This window comes from Homo sapiens, chromosome X (assembly GCF_000001405.40).
Source record: "Homo sapiens chromosome X, GRCh38.p14 Primary Assembly".
In the NCBI taxonomy this organism is placed as follows: domain Eukaryota; kingdom Metazoa; phylum Chordata; class Mammalia; order Primates; family Hominidae; genus Homo; species Homo sapiens.
In genome coordinates, this window is record NC_000023.11 from 125,819,954 (window position 1) to 125,843,009 (window position 23,056).

At 38.3% G+C, this 23,056-nt stretch overlaps 1 annotated feature.

Annotated features, from left to right (window-relative positions):
* Positions 6,389 to 6,889: an enhancer, noted in NCBI's record as "H3K4me1 hESC enhancer chrX:124960324-124960824 (GRCh37/hg19 assembly coordinates)". NCBI's record gives its function as "activates a minimal SCP1, AML or CMV promoter by ChIP-STARR-seq in primed H9 embryonic stem cells {active_cell/tissue: H9 hESC(primed)}" and the evidence as "EXISTENCE:reporter gene assay evidence [ECO:0000049][PMID:30033119]".

A 23,056-nucleotide genomic window follows, 5' to 3' on the forward strand; every position in this document is an offset into this window, starting at 1 on the left:
TTTGTGTTGTCTCTGATATCTTATGGTAAGGATTTGTAGTTTTCCTTGTAGAGATCTTTCACTTCCCTGATTAGTTGTATATCTAGGTATTTTATTCTTTTTGTGGCTATTGAAGTGGGATTGTGTTCTTTATTTCATTCTCATGTAGATATTGTTGGTATATAGAAATGCTACAGATTTTTGTACATAGATTTTGTATCCTGAAACTTTACTGAGAACATTTATCAATTCTAGGAGCCTTTAGGCAGAACCTTTAGGATTTTCGAGCTCTAGAATCCTATTGTCAGTAAAGAGAGAAGGAGTTTGACTTCATTTTTTTTTTCTATTTGGATGCCTTTTATTTCTTTCTTTTGTGCGATTGCTCTGTCTAGGACATCTAGTACTATGTTGAGTAGAGGTGGTGAGAGTGGGTATCCTTATCTTGTTGTACTTCTCAAAGGGAATGTTTTGAGGTTTTGCTCATTCAGTATGATGTTGGCTGTGGGTTTGTCATAGATGGCTCTTCTTATTTTTAGGTATGTTCCTGCATTAGTCTGTTTACATGCTGCTGATAAAGACATATCTGAGACTGGGTAATTTACACAGGAAATGGGGTTTAATGGACTTACATTTCTGCATGGCTGGGGAAGCCTCACAGTCATGGTGGAAGGTGAAAGGCACATCTTACATAGATGGCAGCAGGCAAAGGCAGAGTGAGCTTGTGCAGGGAAACTCCCGTTTATACAACCATGAGATCTTGTGAGACTTATTCACTATCATGATAATAGCACAGGAAAGACTTGCCCCCATGAGTCAATTACCTCTCACCAGGTTCCTCCCACAACATGTAGGAACTGTGGGAGTTACCATTCAATATGAGTTTTCTGTAGTGACACAGCCAAACCATATCATTCTGCCCCTGGCCCCTCCAAAATCTCATGTCCTCACATTTCAAAACCAATCATGCCCTCCAAACAGTGCCCCAAAGTCTCAATTCATTTCAACATGAACTCAAAAGTCCACAATCTAATGTCTTATCTGAGACAAGGCAAGTCCCTTCTGCCTGTGAGCCTGTAAAATCAAAAGCAAGTTAATTACTTCCTAGATACAATGGAGTACAGGCATTGGGTAAATACAACCTTTTCAAATGGGAGAAATTGGCCAAACAAAGGGGCTACAGGCCCCATGCCAGTCTGAAATCCAGCAGGGCAGTCAAATCTGAAAGCTCCAAAATTATCTTCTTTCACTCCATGTCTCACATCCAGGTCATGCTGATGCAAGAGGTGGGTTCTCATGGTATTGGGTAGCTCTGCCCATGTGGCTTTCCAGGGTACAGCCTGCCTCCTGGCTGCTTTCATAGACTGGCATTGGGTGTCTGAGGCTTTTCCAGGTGCATGATGCAAGCTGCCAGTGGATCTACTATTCTGGGGTCTGGAGGATGGTGGCCCTCTTCTCACAGCTCCACTAGGCAGTGCCCCAGTAGGGACTCTGTGTGGCAGCTCTGACCCCACATTTCCCTTCCACACTGCCCTAGCAGAAGTTCTCCATGAGAGCCCTATTTCTATAGCCAACTTCTCCCTGGATATCCAGGTGTTTCCATGCATCTTCTGAAATCTAGGCAGAGGTTTCCAAACCTCGGTTCTTGACTTCTATGCATCTGCAGGCTCAATACCACGTGAAGCTGCCAAGGCTTGGGGCTTCTGTCATCTGAAGCAACAGCCCAAGCTGGACCTTGGCCCCTTTTAGTCACAGCTAGAGCAGCTGGAACACAGGGCACTAAGTCTTTAGACTGCATATAACAGAGGGACCCAGAAAGCAGCCCACAAAACCATTATTTCCTCCTAAACCTCCTGACCTGTGATGGGAGGGGCTGCCATAAAGGTCTCTGACCTTCCCTAGAGACATCTTTCCCATTGTCTTGGTGATTAACATTTGGCTACTTGTTACTTATGCAAATTTCTGTAACCAGCTTGAATTTTTTCTCAGAAAATGGGATTTTCATTTTTTTTTTTTTTTTGAGACAGAGTCTTGCTTTGTCACCCAGGCTGGAGTGCAGTGGCACCATCTCAGCTCACTGCAACCTCCGCCTCCTGGGTTCAAGTGATTCTCCTGCCCCAGTCTCCTGGGTAGCTGGGACTACAGGTGTGTGCCCCCAAGCCTGGCTAATTTTTTGTATTTTTTAGTAGAGACGGTGTTTCACCATATTAGCCAGAATGGTCTCAATCTCCTGATCTTGTGATCCGCCCACCTCAGCCTCCCAAAGTGCTGGGATTACAGGTGTGAGCAACTGCACCTAGCCCGGGATTTTCTTTCCTATTGCATTGTCAACCTGCAAATTTTCCAAACTTTTATCCTCTGTTTTCCTTTTAAAACTGAATATTTTTAACAGCACCTAAGTCACCTCTTGAATGCTTTGCTTCTTAGAAGTTTCTTCTGCTAGATATCCTAAATCATCTCTCTCAAGTTCAAAGTTCCACAAATCTCTAGGGAAGGGGCAAAATGCCACCACTCTCTTTGCTAAGACATAAAAAGAGTCACCTTTGCTTCAGTTCCCAACAAGTTCCTCATTTCTATCTGAGACCTCCTCAGCCTGGACCTTATTGTCCATATCACTATCAGCATTTTGGGGAAAGCCATTCAACAAATCTCTAAAGAGTTGCAAACTTTCCCACATTTTCCTATGTTCTTCTGAGCCCCCCGAACTGTCCCAACCTCTGCCTGTTACCCAGTTCCAAAGTTGCTTCCACATTTCCGATATCTTTTCAGCAATGCCCAACTCTATTAGTACCAGTTTACTGTATTAGCCCATTTTCACATGGCTGATAAACACATACCTGAGACTGGGTAATTTATAAAGAAAAAAGTGTTTAATGGACTTACATTCTCACATTGCTGAGGGGAAGCCTAACAATCATGGTGAAAAGCAAAAGGCACATCTTACATGGATGGCAGCAAGCAAAGAGAGAAAGACAGCTTGTGCAGAGAAACTCTCAAAACCATCATATCTTGTGAGACTTATTCACTATCATGACAACAGCATGGGAAAGACCCACTCCCATGATTCAATTACCTCCCACCAGGTTCCTCACATGACACATGGCAATTGTGGGAGTTACAATTCAAGATGAGATTTAGGTGGGTCCACAACCAAACAATATTGGTTCATTTGATGCCTAGCCTGTTGAAGGTGTTTTTGTCACAAAGGGATGTTGGATTTTATAGAAAGCTTTATCTTTGTTTTTTTTCTTTTTGATGATCATATGGGTTTTGCTTTTGATTCTGTTTATGTGGTGAATCACATTTATTGATTTGCATATGTTGAACCATCCTCACATCCCACGAATAAAGCTTACTTGATCAAGCTGCATTATCTTTCGATGTGCTGCTATGTTTAATTTGCTAGTATTGTGTTGAAGAGTTTTGCATTTATGTTCATGAGGGATATTGATCTAAATTTTTTTTCTTGATTGTATCTCTGCCAGTTTGGGGTATCAGGCTGATGCTAGCTTCATTGAATAAATTATGGAAGAGCTCTTCCACCTCAAATTTTAGGAATATTTTCAGTACTACTGGTATCTGTTCTTCTTTGTATGTCTGGTAGAATTTAGCTGTGAGTGCATCTTGTCCAAGGCTTTTTGTGGGTGGCAGGTTTTCTATTACTAGTTCAATTTCAGAAGTTGATATTGGTCTATTCAGGTTTTCAATCTGTTCTGGATTCAGTCTTGTGAGATTGTTTGCTTCTAGAAATTTATACATTTTCTCTAGGTTTTCTATTTTTTGTGCATAAATTGTTCAGTGTTGTCTCTGAACATCTTTTGTATTTCTGTGGGATCAGTTGTAACAGAGCCTTTGTTGTTTCTGATTGTGATTATTTGGATCTTATCTTTCTTTGTTAATCTAGCTAGGGGGTCTATCAATCTTATTTATTTCTTGTTTTTGAAGAACCAATTTTTATTTCATTGATATTTTTCATGGATTTTTGTGTCTCAATTTCATTTTGTCATTTTCTAATTTTAGGTGTTTCATTTCTTCAGCTAGCTTTGGGCTTGTTCTTTTTTCTAGTTTCTTACAGTGAAAAGTTAGATTGTTAATTTGAGATCTTTCTAACTTCTTGATGAAAGCATGTAGAGATATAAACTTTCCTCTTAATACTGCATTGGCTGCATCCCAGAGATTTTAATAAGTTGTGTCCCTATTTACATAAATTTCCAAGAATTATTTGATTTCTGCCTTAATTCTGATGTTCACCCAGGAGTTATTCCGGAGTAAGTTGTTTAATTTCCATGTATTTGTGTAGTTTTGGGAGATCTTAGTATTGATTTCTATTCTTATTGCAATGTGGTCCAAGAGTGTACTTGGTATGACTCCAATTTTTTGAATTCACTGATGCCTGCTTTATGACCTAGCATGTGGTTGATCTTAGAATATGTTCCATGTGCAGAAGAGAAGAAGGGAGATTCTGTGGTTATTGAGTGGAATGTTCTGTATACATCTATTAAGTTCAGCTGATCAAGTGTTGACTTTAAGTCCAGAGTTGTTTTTTTAGAGTTTTGCCTGTCTAACTCTCAGTGGGGTGTTAAAGTTTGCCACTATTGTGTGGTTGTCTATTTCTTTTCATAGACCAAGAAGAACTTGTTTTATGCATGTGAGTGCTTCAATGTTGGGTGCATATATATTTAGGATAGTTAAGACTTCTGGTTGGATTGTATTGTTTTTCATTAAGCAATGCCTTTCATTTTCTTCTTAATTTTGTTGCTGTTGTTGTTTGTTTAAAGGCTGTCTTATCTGATATAAGAATAGTGACTTCTGGACATTTTTGTTATTTGTTTGGATGTTAGATCTTACTCCAGCCTTTTACTTTGAGCCTGTGGGTACCATTACATGTGAGATGCATCTCTTGAAGACAACAGAAATTGAGTCTTGTATTTTCATCTAACCTACCACTCTGTGTCTTTTAAGTGGGAGCATTTAGCCTATTTACATTATATGTTAATATTGATATGTGTGATTTTGATTTGGTCATCACTATCGTTTCATTAGCTGGTAGTTATATAGAGTTGATTACATAGTTGCTTTATAGTGCCTGTGGGCTATGTCCTTAAGTGTGCTTTTCTGGTACCAGGTATCATTCTTTTTAGTGCATATTTAGCACTCTGTTAAGGACATCTTGCAAGATTTGTCTTGTTAAAACATATTCCCTCAGCATTTTGCTTGTCAGAGAAGGATTTCATTTCTCCTTCACTCAAGAAGCTTAGTTTGGCAGAATATAACATTCTTGGTTGAAATTTATTTTCTTTAAGACACGGACAATAGGCCTCTAATCTCTTTGGGTTTGTAAGGCTTCTGCTGAGAGTTCTGCTGCTAGCCTGATGAGGTTCCCTCTGTAGGTTACCTGCCCCTTCTCTCTAGCTGCCTTTACGATTTTTTATTTTACATTGTCCTTGGTGAATTGATGACTATGTTCCTTGTAGATGATCATCTTGTATAGTATCTACCTGGGGTTCTCTGTAATTCTCCAATTTGCATGTCAACCTCTAGAGAGATTAGGAAAATTTTGGGGGACTATATCATCAAATATAATTTCCAAGTTGCTGTTATCTCTAATTATCTCTTAGGATTGTCAGTGAGTTATAAATTTGTTCTCTTTACATAATCCCACATTTCTCAAAAATTTTATTTTTCTTAATTATTTTTTGTTTGTTTGTCTGTTGTTATTTTTGTCTAACTGAGTTGATTTGAAGAACCAGTTTTGAATTCTGAGATTCTTTCCTCAGCTTGGTCTATTTTGCTGTTAACACTTTTGATCATATTATAAAATTCTTGTAGTGAATTTTTCAGCTCAAGAAGTTCAGTTTCAGTCTTTCTTAACATGACTATTTTGTCTTTCAGGTCTTGAATTGTTTTACTGGGTTGCTTGGCCTTTTTGAATTGAGTTTCAACATTCTCCTTGATCTCAATGAACTTCATTGATATCTCAGTTCTTAATTCCATGTCTGACATTTCAGAAAATTTAGACTCGTTAATAATTGTTGCTGGGGTGTTATATATTGGCTCATTTGGAGGTAAGGGGACACTCTCTGGCTTTTTGAATTGCCAGAATTCTTGTGCAGAATCTTTCTCATTCAGGAGGGCTGGTATTCCTTTAATTGTGATGTAAATTAAGTCCATTGTTTTAATTTCAGGATGATTTCAGAGAGCTAAGTCTCTGTACAGGGTCTTTGTTGTTGAATTCTTGCTCTTGGTTTTGCAGAATGAGGATAGAGGGAGGAATTAGTAAAGTGATTTTTGGTGTTGTAGTTTGGACTTCAATTCAGTAGATGGCACTTGAGAGCAATGGGCAGTGAATGGGACCTTAGCCTTTCAGTTTCTTTTTGTGTACTTGTGTTTGCAACTGTGTTTTGTGGTACAAGGGGGAGAGAGGTGACCCCCATAAAAGATCTGCTCATGGGCCTTAGGGAGCCACTTTCAATTAACGGCACTGTGCACACAATTTTTATTGTCGTCACTAGGTATTTCAGGCTGCAGGGGTCCTTTGGGGAGAGGTCTGGTAGGGAAATAGGACACACTCTTACCAGACCAGCACTGTGGAGGGAGGCATGTCTAGGTCCCACACCAGCCTGTGAACCTTTGTGATTTACCCCTCTCAATTTTCTGAAAGTGTGGGCTCCTTCCCCATTGAAGTGCTTATCACAGCTCACAGCACCCAGGTTGGCACTCCTGAGCTCCATGCCACAGCCCTGAGGTGCCAGAACCTGCTTGTGGCTCCCTATTCTGGATTCTCGGGGTGGTGGTTCTGGTGTGATAGAGTATCTGCAGGGCTCCCAGGCTTCTGTAGTTCACTCGGGTGGAACAACGCAGCCAGGCCTGGCATCCAGGGCTTCACTGTATACTTAATCCTATGAGGTAATATGAGGTGACCAAGCAGGGGTCCTGGGAAGGGCTGGCAGGCAGACAGACTTGCAGGACATATGTGCTCCAGTCCTGTGGCAGAAGCAGGCCCTGCTTTCTCCTCAGCAGGTAGCTGGGTGCAGAGCCTCTCAGAGGGAGATGGGCAGCCCTAGAGGGTAGGCACTGATGACCAGGATCCGCTGGAGCTGACTCGTGCTGAAAGGTCCCCAGCTCAGTGCCTGCTGCAGCTCTGTATTTAATCTCTATGGAGATTACCCCTGAGAGCTCACACTTCCTTGGGGTTCTGGGTTTCCCTGCAGCAGCTAGTGAGACAGCCAGCTGGGAAGGGGTCCCTGGAGACTCTAACCAGCCTGCCCACTGGGGTGGAGCCTGGGGAAGTTCATGCTATTTGCAGCAGGGAGGAACCTGGCTCCTCCTCTTCCTGTGTGGAACCTGGGATCCAAGCTGCCAGGCAGGAAGCACTCTAAGGGAGTGCTTTTCTGTTTGCCCCTTTGTTCCCTTTTCACCCAATAAAACCCTGCTTTACTCACCCTTTAAGCCATCTGCGAGCCTAAAGTTTTGTGGCTCTTGGACAGACAAGAACCCCGTCTTTAGCTGAACTAAGGAAAAGTCCTGCAACACTAGGATTCCACAGGTCTGTGGTGGGAGTGAGCAGTCTCCCAGTCCCTTCATTCACTCCTTCTCCAGGTGTTATTCATGGCTAGGAACCAGCCATAATGTTCAGGCACTATGTGTTGGGCCTCAGCTTTCTTTACCTTCAGCCTCAGCATTTAATTCTTTTCTCCATCTGCATTTGGCGTTTTTCTCTTGGAAGATCTAGTTAAATTATGTTGGTATAGTTCAAAACTATGGTCCCTTTCTGTAGAAATGGCACTTCCCAGCTGCATCTACTTGGCCATCTTGGAAGAAGTCCTAATCTGATTAAAAAATATGTGCCAAGATCATAAGGCATCCTCACAGAAACTTAGACTTCCACATAATAATTGTGGAAGTCTTCAACACTCCATTTATAGTATTAGACAGATCGTTGTGGCAAAAAGTTAACAAAATGCAGCAGGCCTTTAGCTGAGACGTTCTTATGTTGCCTAATTAACAGCCATTGATGGGACTTCTACTCACTGAAGATGATGACTAAAAGATAAATACTTAGTGCAAACAAATCACACTTAATGTACTTATAAAGACAGCTGTGCCTTTCTTACTGATTTCTTCAATGATTCTGAAAAAATAGTTCCATATTTATCTTCTTAATGTCATAATCAGTTGCCACAATTGGTGACTTGTTCAAAAATTGCTAAGAGATCTTATCATAAATAGTGCTATTATTCCTGTGATTATTATTTATAAATAGGACCTAACCAACATTATATAAAATGGACTCTTCACTCAATTTGTGATTGTTGTAAAGTAACTTAAATCAACAGGATTTTAAAAATCCTCTTAACATTGGGAAGAAAAATGTACACAACAGGCAATGCAGAACAAGTCAGGAAAACATAGAAGGATAAAGAAAAATAATGCAATTGTCTGGCTTTTATTATTTCTTCTTCAATAATTGTCTGGCTTTTATTATTTCTTCTTCAAGCAAGGTCGCTGTTTTAGATGAAAGTAAATGATTGCCTATTTCTTTGCACACAGTAGGTGTGATGGTTAATATTGAGTCTCAAGTTGATTGGATTGAAGGATGCAAGGTATTGTTCCTGGATATCTCTGTGAGGGTGTTGCCAAAGGAGATTAACATTTGAGTCAGTGGACTTGGAGAGGCAGACCCACCCTCAATCTGGGTGGGCACCACCTAATCAGCTGCCAGCACAGCTAGAATAAAGCAGGCAGAAGAACGTGGAAGGACTTGACTTGCTGAGTCTTGCGGCTTTCATTTTTCTCCCATGCTGGATGCTTCTTGTCCTCGAATATTGGACTCCAAGTTTTTCAGCTTTTGGACTCTTGGACTTACACCACTGGTTTGCCAGGGTCTCTGAGGCCTTTGGCCACATACTGAAATCTGCATTGTTGGCTTCCCTACTTTTGAGGTTTGGGGACTCGGACTGTTCTACCACTGGCTTCCTTGCTCCTCAACTTGCAGACGGCCTATCGTGGGACTTCACCTTGAGATAATGTAAGTCAATTCTCCTTAATAAACTCCCTTTCATATATGCATATATCCTATTACTTCTGTCCCTCTACAGAACCCTGACTAATGCAGGAGGCATTCAGTTCATTTAAAACATTCTCAGAGCACCTTGCAATGGGAGCAAAACAGTCTCATTCTATTTGACAATCTGATTCTTTGAAAATGAGTTTGATCATTCAGACACTTAAACCAAACAACAATAGGAACATATACTATATTGCCATGTTTTATACATACTCTATTATTATACATGTTAGAATATGATCAATACATACATATCTTTTTACCCTACCAGACCATGACTGCTTTGTAAGAGTCATTATTTTATTATCTCTCTGTCACCAACAGTTTCTTGTATAGAGTAGGTACTCAGCAAATATGTGTTGAACAAATAATAACTGTAATGACAGTAATTTTATTTTCATTTTTATAAAGATGAGAGTTGTTGTTCCTACAATTATGCATACTTCTGTAATCATGAAAGATAAAAGTAGAGCAGCCATCCATTAGAAACCTGATTATCTGTACATCAAGTAGCAGCATAATAATAATAATACTTTTATCTCCATCATTAAATTGTGTATAATTACTTTCAAGACTGCACATTTCTAATAAGATTCTCCTACTTAGGGGACCCTTAACTCTCCAGAATGTCATGAAAATAGATTCATACATGTTCTTTCCAGATTATTTCAACAAGTTATATATACAACTAGTGTTTCTCTTGTAATTGAAAAAATAATGTAACTACAATGACTATGAACTTACTAATCAACTTTTCAAATGTTTTACTCTTTATCGTAAATGAGACTTGCAAAATTTTATAAAAGAAAGCAACACAAGTAAATTAATAAGTAGTTACAGGATGCATAAACATTAGTAAATCGAACTGAGGTTCTATCACTTAAAGATGGTATTAACTTCATAAGAAAGGAGAAATAAAATATGTTTCAGACAAGCAAATGCCAAGGGAATTCTTTACCACCAGATTTGCCCTACAAGAGCTCCTGAAAGAAGCACTAAATATTTAGAGACTTTGACCAGGCACTACAAAAACATACTTTAGTACACCAACCAGTGTCACTATAAAGCTACCAGATGAACAAGTCTGCATAATAACCAGGTAACATCATGATTCCATGATCAAGTCCACACATTTCAATGCTAACCTTGAATATAAACAGGCTTAATGTCCCAATTAAAAGACACAGGGTGGCAAGCTGGAAAAGAAACAAACAAACAAACAAAACAAAACAAAAAAAAACACAAGACGCAATTGTATGCTGTCTTCAAGAGACTCATCTCACGTACAGTAACACCCATAGGCTCAAAATAAAGGAATGGTGGAAAATCTACCAAGCAAATGAAAAACAGGAAAAAGCAGGGGTTGCAATCCTAGTTTCTGACAAAACAGACTTTAAACCAACAACGATCAAAAAACACGAAGTAGTGCATTACATAAATGGTAAAGGGCTCCATTCAAAAAGAAGACATAACTGTCTTAAATATGTATGCACCCAACACACAAGCACCCAGATTCATAAATTAAGCTCTTCAAGACCTTCACAGAAATTTAGACTTCTACATCATAATCGTGGAAGTCTTCAACACCCAATTGACAGTATAAATAGATCATTGTGGCAAAAAATTGACAAAGATATTCAGGACCTGAACTCAGCTCTGGATCAAATGAACTTGATAGACATCTACAGAACTCTTCACCCCCAATACAACAGAATATACATTGTTCTCATTGACACATGGCACATACTCTAAAAGTGAACACATAATTGGACATAAAGAACTCCTCAGCAATTGTAAAAAACTGAAATCATAACAACCACTCTCTTGGATTGCAGCACAATTACAATAGAATTCAAGACTAAGAAAATGCTCAAAGCCATACAATTACATGAAAATTGAATAACCTGCTCCTAAATGACTTTGGGGGTAAATAATATAATTAAGGAAGATATCAATAAATTCTTTGAAACTAATGAGAATAAAGATACAATATACCAGAATTTCAGGGATACAGCTAAGACAGTGTTAAGAGGGAAATTTATAGCACTAAATGCCCACATCAGAAAGTTAGAAAGATATCCATTTAACAACCTAAAATTACAACTGAAAGAACTAGGGACCCAAGAGCAAACCAAGCCCAAGGCTAGAAAAGGCAAGAAATAACCAAAATCAAAGCTGACCGAAAAGAGATTGAGACACACACACACACACACACACACACACACACACACACAGACACACACACACACACACACAAAAATTTAAAAGAACAATGAATCCAGGAGTTGGCTTTCCAAAAAAAATCATAAAATAGATAGACCACTAGCTAGACTAAATAAGAAGAAAAGAGAGAAGATCCAAATAAGCACAATTAGAGAGGACAAAGGGGTTATTACCACTGATGGTACAGAAATACAAACAGACATCAGAGAATATTATACACGTGTATATGCACACAAACTAGCATATCTAGAAAAGCAGAATAAATTCCTGGACAAATACACTCTCTGAAGACTGAAACAGGAAGAGATTGTGTCTCTGAACAGACCAATAGTGAGTTCAGAAATTGAAAAAGTAATAAATAGCCAACAAACAAACACACAAACGAAAAAGCCCAGGACCAGATGGATTCACAGCCAAATTCTATCAGTTGTACAAAGAAGATCTGGTGTCATTCCTACTGAAACTATTCTAAACAATTGAGGAGGAGGAATTCCTCCATAACTTATTCCATGAGGCCAGCATCATCCTAATACCAAAACCCAGCAGAGACACAACATAAAAAAGAAAACTTCAGGCTGGTATCCTTGATGAACAATTGATGCAAAAATTCTCAACAAAATACTGGCAAACCAATTTCAGCAACACATCAAAAAGCGTATGCACCATGAACAAATATGCTTTATCCCTGTGATGCAAGGTTGGTTCAATATATGCAAATCAATAATGTGATTTATCACATAAGCAGAGCTAAAGACAACAAAATCACATATGATTATCTCAATGGATGCAAAGAAGGCTTTTGATAAAATTCAACACCCTGTCATGTTAAAAACTCTCAATAAACTATGTGTTGAATAAACAAACTTCAAAATAATAAGAGCCATCTATGACAAACCTATAGCCAACATCATATTGAATGTGCAATAGCTAGAAGCATTCCCTTTGACAACCAGCACACGACAAGGATGCTTTTATCTCACCACTCCTATTGAACATACTGTTGAAAGTCCTGGCCAGGGCAATCAGGCAAAAGAAATAAAGACATCCAAATAAAAAGAGAGAAACCCAAATTATTCCTGTTTGGAGATGACATGATTCTACATCTGCAAAACCCCATAGTCTTGATTCAAAAGCTCTTTAAGCTGATAAATAACATCAGCAAAGTCTCAGGATACAAAATCAGTGTACAAAAATCAGTAGCATTCCTATAAACCAACCACAGACAAGCCAAGAACCAAATGAGGAGTGCAATCTCATTCAAAATTGCCATATAAAAAATAAAATAACTAGGAATACAGACAACAAAGAGATGAAAAATCTCTACAATGGGAACTGCAAAGGACTGCTCAAATAACTCAGAGATGACACAAACAAATGGAAAAACATTCCATATTTTTGGATAGGAAGAATCAACATCGTTAAAATGGACATACTGTCCAAAACAATTTACAGAGTCAATGCTATTCCTAACAAACTACCAATGACATTTTTCAGAGAACTAGAAAAAAATCTATTTTAAAATTCACATGAAACAAAATAGAAGCCTGAATAGCCAAAACAATCCTAAGCCAAAGAACAGAGCTGGAGGCATCATGATACCCAACTTTTCAAACTATACTACGGGGCTGCAGTAACCAAAACAGCATCATAGTGGTACAAAAACAAACACATAGACCAATGGAACAGAATAGAGGTCGCAGAAAAAAGGCCACACATGACAATTATGTAATCTTTGAGAAAACGGACAAAAAATGCAATGGGGAAAGGACTCCGTATTTAACAAATGGTGTTGGGATAATTGGCTAGCCAAATGCAGAGGACTGAAACTGGACCCTGTATTTACGTCATACAAAAAAATTAATTCAAGATGGACTGGGGAGTTAAATGTAAAACCCAAAACTATAAACGCCCAGAAGGCAACCTAGGCAATACAATCCTGGACGTAGGAACAGACAAAGATTTCATGATGAAGATGCCAAAAGCAATTGCAACAAAAGCAAAAATTGACAAATGGGATCTAATTAAACTAGAGACATTCTGCACAGCAAGAGAAACTATAAGCGGGGAAAACAGACAACCTACAGAATGGGAGAAAATTTTTGCAAACTATTGATCTGACAAAGCTCTAATATCCAGAATCCATAAGGAACTTAAAGAAATTTACAAGAAAAAAGGCAAACAGTCTCCTTAAACAGTGAAAAAAGGACAATTATGAGAACACATGGACACATAGAGGGGAACAACAGACACTGGAACCTACCAGAGAGTGGATGTGGGAAGGAGGGAGTGGATCAGGAAAAATAACTGTTGGTTACTAAGCTTAATGTCTTGGGGACAAAATAATCTGTACAATAAACCCCCGTGACGTGAGTTTACCTATGTAACAAACCTGCACATGTACCCCTGTACCTAAAACAAAAGTTTAAAAAAATTAGGCCTACAATTCAAATTATATCATCATAATGGTTTTCTTTTTTTCTAAAATTTATTATTTTTATAATTATTTGTGCTTGTTCACATCACAACATGTACTTTCAGTTCTCTAGTTAGGTTTATAAAGAAAGCACTGTGTTTATTTTTCTGGATAGGGATAATTACACTTGTAGTCACAATAACTGTATAACTGTGAAACAGGAAAAAAACCAACAAACACAAATTATCACCACTTTACGGTGGCCTTTGGCATAACTACATCAGAAAAGTGCGCGAGGGTGTACTATGATAGAGCGCCAATATAATTTACATTAACAAATGCTGCATATAAAAATGATAATATCTTTTTGCCTGTATTCAATAATTATGTTACTTCAATGAAATCTTTGAACAGTTGTGAATATTATTTCTCAGGAGTCAATGGGCAATACTGAAGATGCTTAATAACATCAGAAAATATAGAGTTTTGGCTGAAAACCAATATGTAGAGTGTAAACAAATGATTATTTAAAAGCATAAAAATGTATATTACATTCAATTTGTTATAATAAAAGCTGGACAAACTGCTCATTTTCTTCTCAAAATTGAGAGAAACTGATGCAATCCTAATCATGAACATTTTATAGAAATACAATGCTTGGATGTAATAAAATGATTATCAGAAAGAATGCTGTCTTTGGCTTCAGAATGAAAAAAGTGTATATGACGGTAGAGGTTGATAGGTGATTAAATTAATCTCATCTCTTAGTTTCTGAACTAACATATTTTTTAACATTTATATTTATTCTGGCAAATATCTATACATACAGGAAAAACATGCCAAAATTATGAATTCATCAATATAATGAACATAGATATGTATAATTTCCACTTGACCTTTATGTAGCTGCAGGCCCAAATTGTAGCATCTTCCACATTGCCTAATCCATGCCTATTATTTCTTTGAACCAGAAAGCTTTCTCTAATAAAAGTTAATGCTCAAGGATTTGCTTTATATTTCCTCTCACTTATGAATACTTTGTTCTATTTTTTCATACGTTAAAATTATTTTTAAATGCGTATGCATTTTCACAGACAGATTATAAGAACTCTGTGAGAAGCAAATATCCAGTATGATGTGGCTGTATAAAACAGTAACTCAATAAATTCTTAATAAATAAGCATCTATTAATAGCCTTAAAGAACATGTGGTCGTTGTAATTTTCACTTTATGAGAAATATTGACTTTGAAAGATATCTATGCATTCTTAATTTCAATGTAAAGAAAATGCATTTTCTTTACATTGAAATATATAATTTCAGCAAACTTCACTAAACTTCAGGGTCAAAACTGAAGTTTTGATGAATAATATATAATGTTGAATGAATAATATATAATGAAGGATATAGCATAGTACACAGACTGGATTATGTAAAGTCTTATATTATTCACTTTAGCAGTAAAACCTTCTCCTCATAGAGAGTAAAACTTGTATGATCAACTAGTAAACCAAGGTGCTAATAAAGACAAGTTTTTTGATTCAGTACCCAACTGTGCAAGTTAATCATATAATAACATACATTTTTTTTTTGGTCACACATTATGCATTTCTTTTTATTCAGTTATTTTAAAAGTAGTCATGAAAGAGACTTAAAAAAAAGTTTGTGGATCGTTCACTGCAGTCCATTGTGAGCACTGATTATGACTCAGTTGCATCAGCAGAAATATGCAGGACTTGAGGGTGAAGACATCTCTTGAATTCATAAGGCATCTTTCCTTGAAGTAAACATAACATTCTTCCACTCTTGTAAAAACTCTGAGTTGTGTGTCTGTTTTATTTGTGACAATTTCATTCTGACTCATAATTCTTTGTGGTTAAATTTGACATTTTTAGCAAGAATCACAACATGAATGATCCCCATGTTCTCCATAGATTTTAATTTCACCCCATCAAGGAACTTGAAATAATTTAAAAATACTGTTCTTCAAAATGACTGATTTTATCAAACAAGTCTCAGTTGGTTTGCAACTTTCTTGATTCCTCAGCTCATCACTATTCAGCATATTCACTATATTGTCAGATCATCTCCCTATGATTAAGTGATCAAAAACAATGATAACCATAAAAGCATAAATTGCAAAAACTCCATTGCCTTTAGTATTTTTTTACAATGCACATTTTTTTGGACAAGTGAACATATGTGAAGTAATAAATCTACTAAAACTGTTTAAGAGGTATTGCAGAAATCAAATTGTAAGTTGCGATTTATGTGTATAATGATCAATGTTCACTAAAGTTTTACTTTGTTTTGTTTTCTTTTGGGGGTGGTGGTATTTTTAATTTTTTTTGTTTTGATTTATATTTTAAAAAGACAAAAAACAGGTTTCTTGGTTAGAGGTTTGCTTTTGGTGCAGGAAAATACTAACATTAACACTGGGGTTAGATTAATCCCCAATAACTGACCATGAAATGGAATGTTTTGGAGAGCTGAGTAGGCAACTGACACCACTAGAGAAATTAGAGTTGTGGGGATTGAATTAAGTTCCTAGAGATAAATGAATACATTATATTTAAAAATGTGTTATCCAATATGGTAACAATTGGCAACATGTTGGTATTGAATACTAGAGTTGTACCTATTCCAAACCAAGATATTCTGTCCGAGTGAAGTACACAGATTTAAATATTTAGTATGAGGAAAATAATGTAAAATATCTCATAATAGGCATATAATAGGTTATGGTTGAGACTGCAAATTGTTCACTCAATATCTATTCTCTCATTTCTCTGTAATAATAAAAGCTTAGCTGGGTAGCTAAATGTTGCCATGCAGCCTGGTTCCTACCGATGTAATGTAAATGGAAATGATATATTCAACCCCATTAAAATAAAATAAAAATGTCCTCTACTTATCTCTCTTTCTTCCTGCAAGCAAGAATTTTGACAAGTGGTGACAATGTGATAGCCATCTTAGGCCACAAGCTAGAAGATACATTTTCAGGGTGGCAAAGTAAAATGATAGAATGAGCCTGAGTCCTGAAAACCATGGAGTTATGTCAGCTTTCGAACACTTATTCTAGGACCATTTTGTGACAGTTAAGGTAAATTCTACCTTATCTAATTTATTTTAAATTACTGCATAATACTCTGTGATGAATGTGCAACTACCATAAGTTTTATATCCACTTTTGGAGTAATGGACACTCAGGTTGATTCCTGCTCACTACCATCACATGTAACACTGCAATGATATCCCCACATGGATCTATGTGAAGATTTCTTCGGGAATTACCCATAAAAAGGATTGGTTCTAAATAGAGTCTGCATATATTTCATTTGTCTAAGTAGTGTAATTTTTTTTACAATAGTTGTGCCGATTTGTATTCCATCAAACAAGTACTTTTGGGCTAGAGCAGGTGGTGAGACACCATTGCCATCAACAGTGATATACTACATTTGGGTGGCCAGAACTGAAAAGGGAAAAATCAGCCTCACAAAAGCTCCATGAGGGAAGAAATGGTGCCTATTTTTTTCTCAGTTATAGACCCAGTAAGTGGCACATAATTGTAGCTGTATAAGTTGTTGTTAAAGAAAAATGATAATATATGGGCCCTACAAGAATAAAGTTGTAAATTCACTGAAAAAAAAATCAGACCTTGTGGACTTGTATCACACTTATTAGAGAAAGCCTGATGCGGTACACATTTCTGCTTCAAACACATTTCTCTCAGGTCTTTGCATTGCTTGCTCCTCATTCAGGTCTCTGCTCCAGTGTTTTGTTTTCAGGGAAGACATTTCTGATTATCCTATCTAGAAGAGCACTTCAGCCCCTGCGTTGATTATACTAAATTCCCTTCCATTGTCCCATTTTCATTCAAGTACTAAAACTATATAAATTATATATATATATATGTGTGTGTGTGTGTGTACACACATATGCATACATACATGCGCACACACCCATATGTTCTGTCTTCCCTATTTGGAATACGTTCCATGAGGGTACGGGCTATATTCTCAGTTCCTAGAATAGTAGAGTAAATGACATAGAGTGAGTACTCAATATATTTGCCATAGGAATGAAAGAACTATCCTTTAATCAATCACAATCAATATGTATTGAATTACTCCATGTAGGGTAACCATGCTAGGCACTGTGAAAAAACTAAGAAGTATCAGACAAATCTATGCTTTCAAACTGCTTGAAGTCTGGTGAAGCAGAAAAAGGCAATGCCTACAAAAAGCTTACTAATGATACCAAACCGTTTGATACTTCTACTAATAAGTAGGAGTAGCTTAACTAATAAGTAGGTCATAGAAGCTCATAGTCTGGAAAAACTATATGTTGGTTTCACTGAGAAGAGGTACTTGAGTTAGTACTTAAGTAGGCAAAATGGGAGGTATAGGGTCTCTAGAGGAAAGGACCTGCATGAGCTTAAATATAACTGGGCTTAAAATAAGAACCACAAAGAAAATATTTCCTCAAACCTGCATACAGCTTTCTAGGTCACAAAGCACTTCTATGCATATTTTATCATTTAGTCCTCACAATCATTTTTGAGGTTGGTAGAGAGGAGATTGATGTCCAAATTTATTTTTGAGGAAATTCTGTTTTTGAGGCTCAGGTGCTATTTGCTTAAGGCTACTTGGTTAGAGACAGAAGCCAAATTCAAGTTTTATCATTCTTAATCCAGAGCTCTGTCCTCAATAGATGACATCAAGGGGCAGAACTATTATACAGCTGGGATCTTGTCTATAAATATAATTACAAGGTGTACTCCTGGATGTGTTTGGATAACTGTGACTGATTTTGTTATCACTACCTGTGTTTATTTGTATTTGACTTATCTCCCCATTAGATTAAGTACATCCACAAGAGTTGGGTTGTGACCTCTACTTATTTTGTAATTTCCCCAGAATATCCTACAATTGAGAGGTGTGGATTGGCCTTTATCTATTGTATGCAATCTTACGAGAAAGGAAAACAAAACAATTTTCTTAAAAAATGTGTTATAAATTAAAATACTTGTAGATTAAACTACAGAGATGTATACAAATAGAAACACATAGCGTACATAATTTCATCAAGAGGAGATGATTGTCTACTTCCAGTGCCTAACTCAGATCCTTAAATACATCTATTTACAAATTATCCTCCTCAAAGATTAAAGGTCAGGGAAACTCTCTCAGTTGCAGATTTTTATAAACCAAAAAGAATCGATTGGCTGGAGCCAAGATGGCCAAATAAGAACAGCTCTGGTCTACAGCTCCCAGCGTGAGCGACACAGAAGACGGGTGATTTCTACATTTCCATCTGAGGTACCGGGTTCATCTCACTAGGGAGTGCCAGACAGTGGGCGCAGGACAGTGGGTGCAGCGCACCGTGTGCAAGCCGAAGCAGGGCGAGGCATTGCCTCACTCGGGAAGCGCAAGGGGTCAGGGAGTTCCCTTTTCTAGTCAAAGAAAGGGGTGACAGACGGCACCTGGAAAATTGGGTCACTCCCACCCCGATACTGCGCTTTTCTGATGGGCTTAAAAAACGGTGCACCAGGAGATTATATCCCGCACATGGCTCAGAGGGTCCTATGCCCACAGAGTCTCGCTGATTGCTAGCACAGCAGTCTGAGATCAAACTGCAAGGCGGCAGCGAGGCTGGGGGAGGGGTGCCCACCATTGCCCAGGCTTGCTTAGGTAAACAAAGCAGCTGGGAAGCTCGAACTGGGTGGAGCCCACCACAGCTCAAGGAGGCCTGCCTGCCTCTGTAGGCTCCATCTCTGGGGGCAGGGCACAGACTAACAAAAAGACAGCAGTAACCTCTGCAGACTTAAATGTCCCTGTCTGACAGCTTTGAAGAGACCAGTGGTTCTCCCAGCACGCAGCTGGAGATCTGAGAACAGGCAGACTGCCTCCTCAAGTGGGTCCCTGACCCCCTGACCCCCGAGCAGCCTAACTGGGAGGCACCCCCAAGTAGGGGCAGACTGACACCTCACACGGCCAGGTACTCTTCTGAGACAAAACTTAGAGAGGAACGATCAGACAGCAGCATTCATGGTTCACGAAAATCCGCTGTTCTGCAGCCACCGCTGCTGGTACCCAGGCAAACAGGGTCTGGAGTAGACCTCTAGCAAACTCCAACAGACCTGCAGCTGAGGGTCCTGTGTGTTAGAAGAAAAACTAACAGACAGAAAGGACATCCACACCAAAAACCCATCTGTACATCATCATCATCAAAGACCAAAAGTAGATAAAACCACAAAGATGGGGAAAAAACAGAGCAGAAAAACTGGAAACTGTAAAAAGCAGAGCGCCTCTCCTCCTCCAAAGGAACACAGCTCCTAACCAGCAACGGAACAAAGCTGGGCGGAGAATGACTTTGACGAGTTGAGAGAAGAAGGCTTCAGACGATCAAACTACTCCGAGCTACAGGAGGAAATTCAAACCAAAGGCAAAGAAGTTGAAAACTTTGAAAAAAATTTAGATGAGTGTGTAACTAGAATAACCAATACAGAGAAGTGCTTAAAGACGCTGATGGAGCTGAAAGCCAAGGCTCAAGAACTACGTGAAGAATGCAGAAGCCTCAGGAGCTGATGCGATCAACTAGAAGAAAGGGTATCAGCAATGGAAGATGAAATGAATGAAATGAAGCAAGAAGGGAAGTTTAGAGAAAAAAGAATAAAAAGAAACGAACAAAGTCTCCAAGAAATATGGGACTATGTGAAAAGACCAAATCTACGTCTGATTGGTGTACCTGAAAGTGACGGGAAGAATGGAACCAAGTTGGAAAACACTCTGCAGGATATTATCCAGGAGAACTTCCCCAATCTAGCAAGGCAGGCCAACATTCAGATTCAGGAAATATAGAGAATGGCACAAAGATACTCCTCGAGAAGAGCAACTCCAAGACACATAATTGTCAGATTCACCAAAGTGGAAATGAAGGAAAAAATGTTAAGGGCAGCCAGAGAGAAAGGTCGGGTTACCCACAAAGGGAAGCCCATCAGACTAACAGCAGATCTCTCGGCAGAAACTCTACAAGCCAGAAGAGAGTGGGAGCCAATATTCAACATTCTTAAAGAAAAGAATTTTCAACCCAGAATTTCATATCCAGCCAAACTAAGCTTCATAAGTGAAGGAGAAATAAAATACTTTACAGACAAGCAAATGCTGAGAGATTTTGTCACCACCAGGCCTGCCCTAAAAGAGCTCCTGAAGGAAGCACTAAACATGGAATGGAACAACCAGTACCAGCCACTGCAAAATCATGTCAAATTGTAAAGACCATCGAGACTAGGAAGAAACTGCATCAACTAACGAGCAAAATCACCAGCTAACATCATAATGACAGGATCAAATTCACACATAACAATATTAACTTTAAATATAAATGGACTAAATGCTCCAATTAAAAGACACAGACTGGCAAATTGGATAAAGAGTCAAGACCCATCAGTGTGCTGTATTCAGGAAACCCATCTCACGTGCAGAGACACATATAGGCTCAAAATAAAAGGATGGAGGAAGATCTACCAAGCAAATGGAAAACAAAAAAAGGCAGGAGTTGCAATCCTAGTCTCAAATAAAACAGACTTTAAACCAACAAAGATCAAAAGAGACAAAGAAGGCCATTACATAATGGTAAAGGGATCAATTCAACAAGAAGAGCTAACTATCCTAAATATATATGCACCAAATACAGGAGCACTCAGATTCATAAAGCAAGTCCTGAGTGACCTACAAAGAGACTTAGACTCCCACACAATAATAATGGGAGACTTTAACACCCCACTGTCAACATTAGACAGATCAACGAGACAGAAAGTCAACAAGGATACCCAGGAATTGAACTCAGCTCTGCACCAAGCAGACCTAATAGACATCTACAGAACTCTCCACCCCAAATCAACAGAATATACATTTTTTTCAGCACCACACCACACCTGCTCCAAAACTGACCACATAGTTGGAAGTAAGCTCTCCTCAGCAAATGTAAAAGAACAGAAATTATAACAGACTGTCTCTCAGACCACAGTGCAATCAAACTAGAACTCAGGATTAAGAATCTCACTCAAAACCGCTCAACTACATGGAAACTGAACAACCTGCTCCTGAATGACTACTGGGTACATAACGAAATGAAGGCAGAAATAAAGATGTTCTTTGAAACCAATGAGAAAAAAGACACAACATACCAGAATCTCTGGGAAACATTCAAAGCAGTGTTTAGAGGGAAATTTATAGCACTAAATGCCCACAAGAGAAAGCAGGAAAGATCCAAAATTGACACCCTAACATCATAATTAAAACAACTAGAAAAGCAAGAGCAAACACATTCAAAAGCTAGCAGAAGGCAAGAAATAACTAAAATCAGAGCAGAACTGAAGGAAATAGAGACACAAAAAACCCTTCAAAAAATTAATGAATCCAGGAGCTGGTTTTTTGAAAGGATCAACAAAATTGATAGACCGCTAGCAAGACTAATAAAGAAGAAAAGAGAGAAGAATCAAATAGACGCAATAAAAAATGATAAAGGGGATATCACTACCAGTCCCACAGAAATACAAACAACCATCAGAGAATACTACAAACACCTCTACGCAAATAAACTAGAAGATCTAGAAGAACTGGATAAATTCCTCGAAACATACACCCTCCCAAGACTAAACCAGGAAGAAGGTGACTCTCTGAATAGACCAATAACAGGATCTGAAATTGTGGCAATAATCAATAGCTTGCCAACCAAAAAGAGTCCAGGACCAGATGGATTCACAGCCGAATTCTACCAGAGGTACAAGGAGGAACTGGTACCATTCCTTCTGAAACGATTCCAATCAATAGAAAAAGAGGGAATCCTCCCTAACTCATTTTATGAGGCCAACATCATCCTGATACCAAAGTCGGCCAGAGACACAACCAAAAAAGATAATTTTAGGCCAATATCCTTGATGAACCTTGATGCAAAAGCCTCAATAAAATACTGGCAAACCGAATCCAGCAGCATATCAAAAAGCTTATCCACCATGATCAAGTGGGCTTCATCCCTGGGATGCAAGGCTGGTTCAATATACGCAAATCAATAAATGTAATCCAGCATATAAACAGAACCAAAGACAAAAACCACATGATTATCTCAATAGATGCAGAAAAGTCCTTTGACAAAATTCAACAACACTTCATGTTAAAAAACTCTCAATAAATTAGGTATTGATGGGACGTATTTCAAAATAATAAGAGCTATCTATGACAAACCCACAGCCAATATCATACTGAATGGGCAAAAACTGGAAGCATTCCCTTTGAAAGCTGGCACAAGACAGGGATGCCCTCTCTCACCACTCCTATTCAACATAGTGTTGGAAGTTCTGGCCAGGGCAATTAG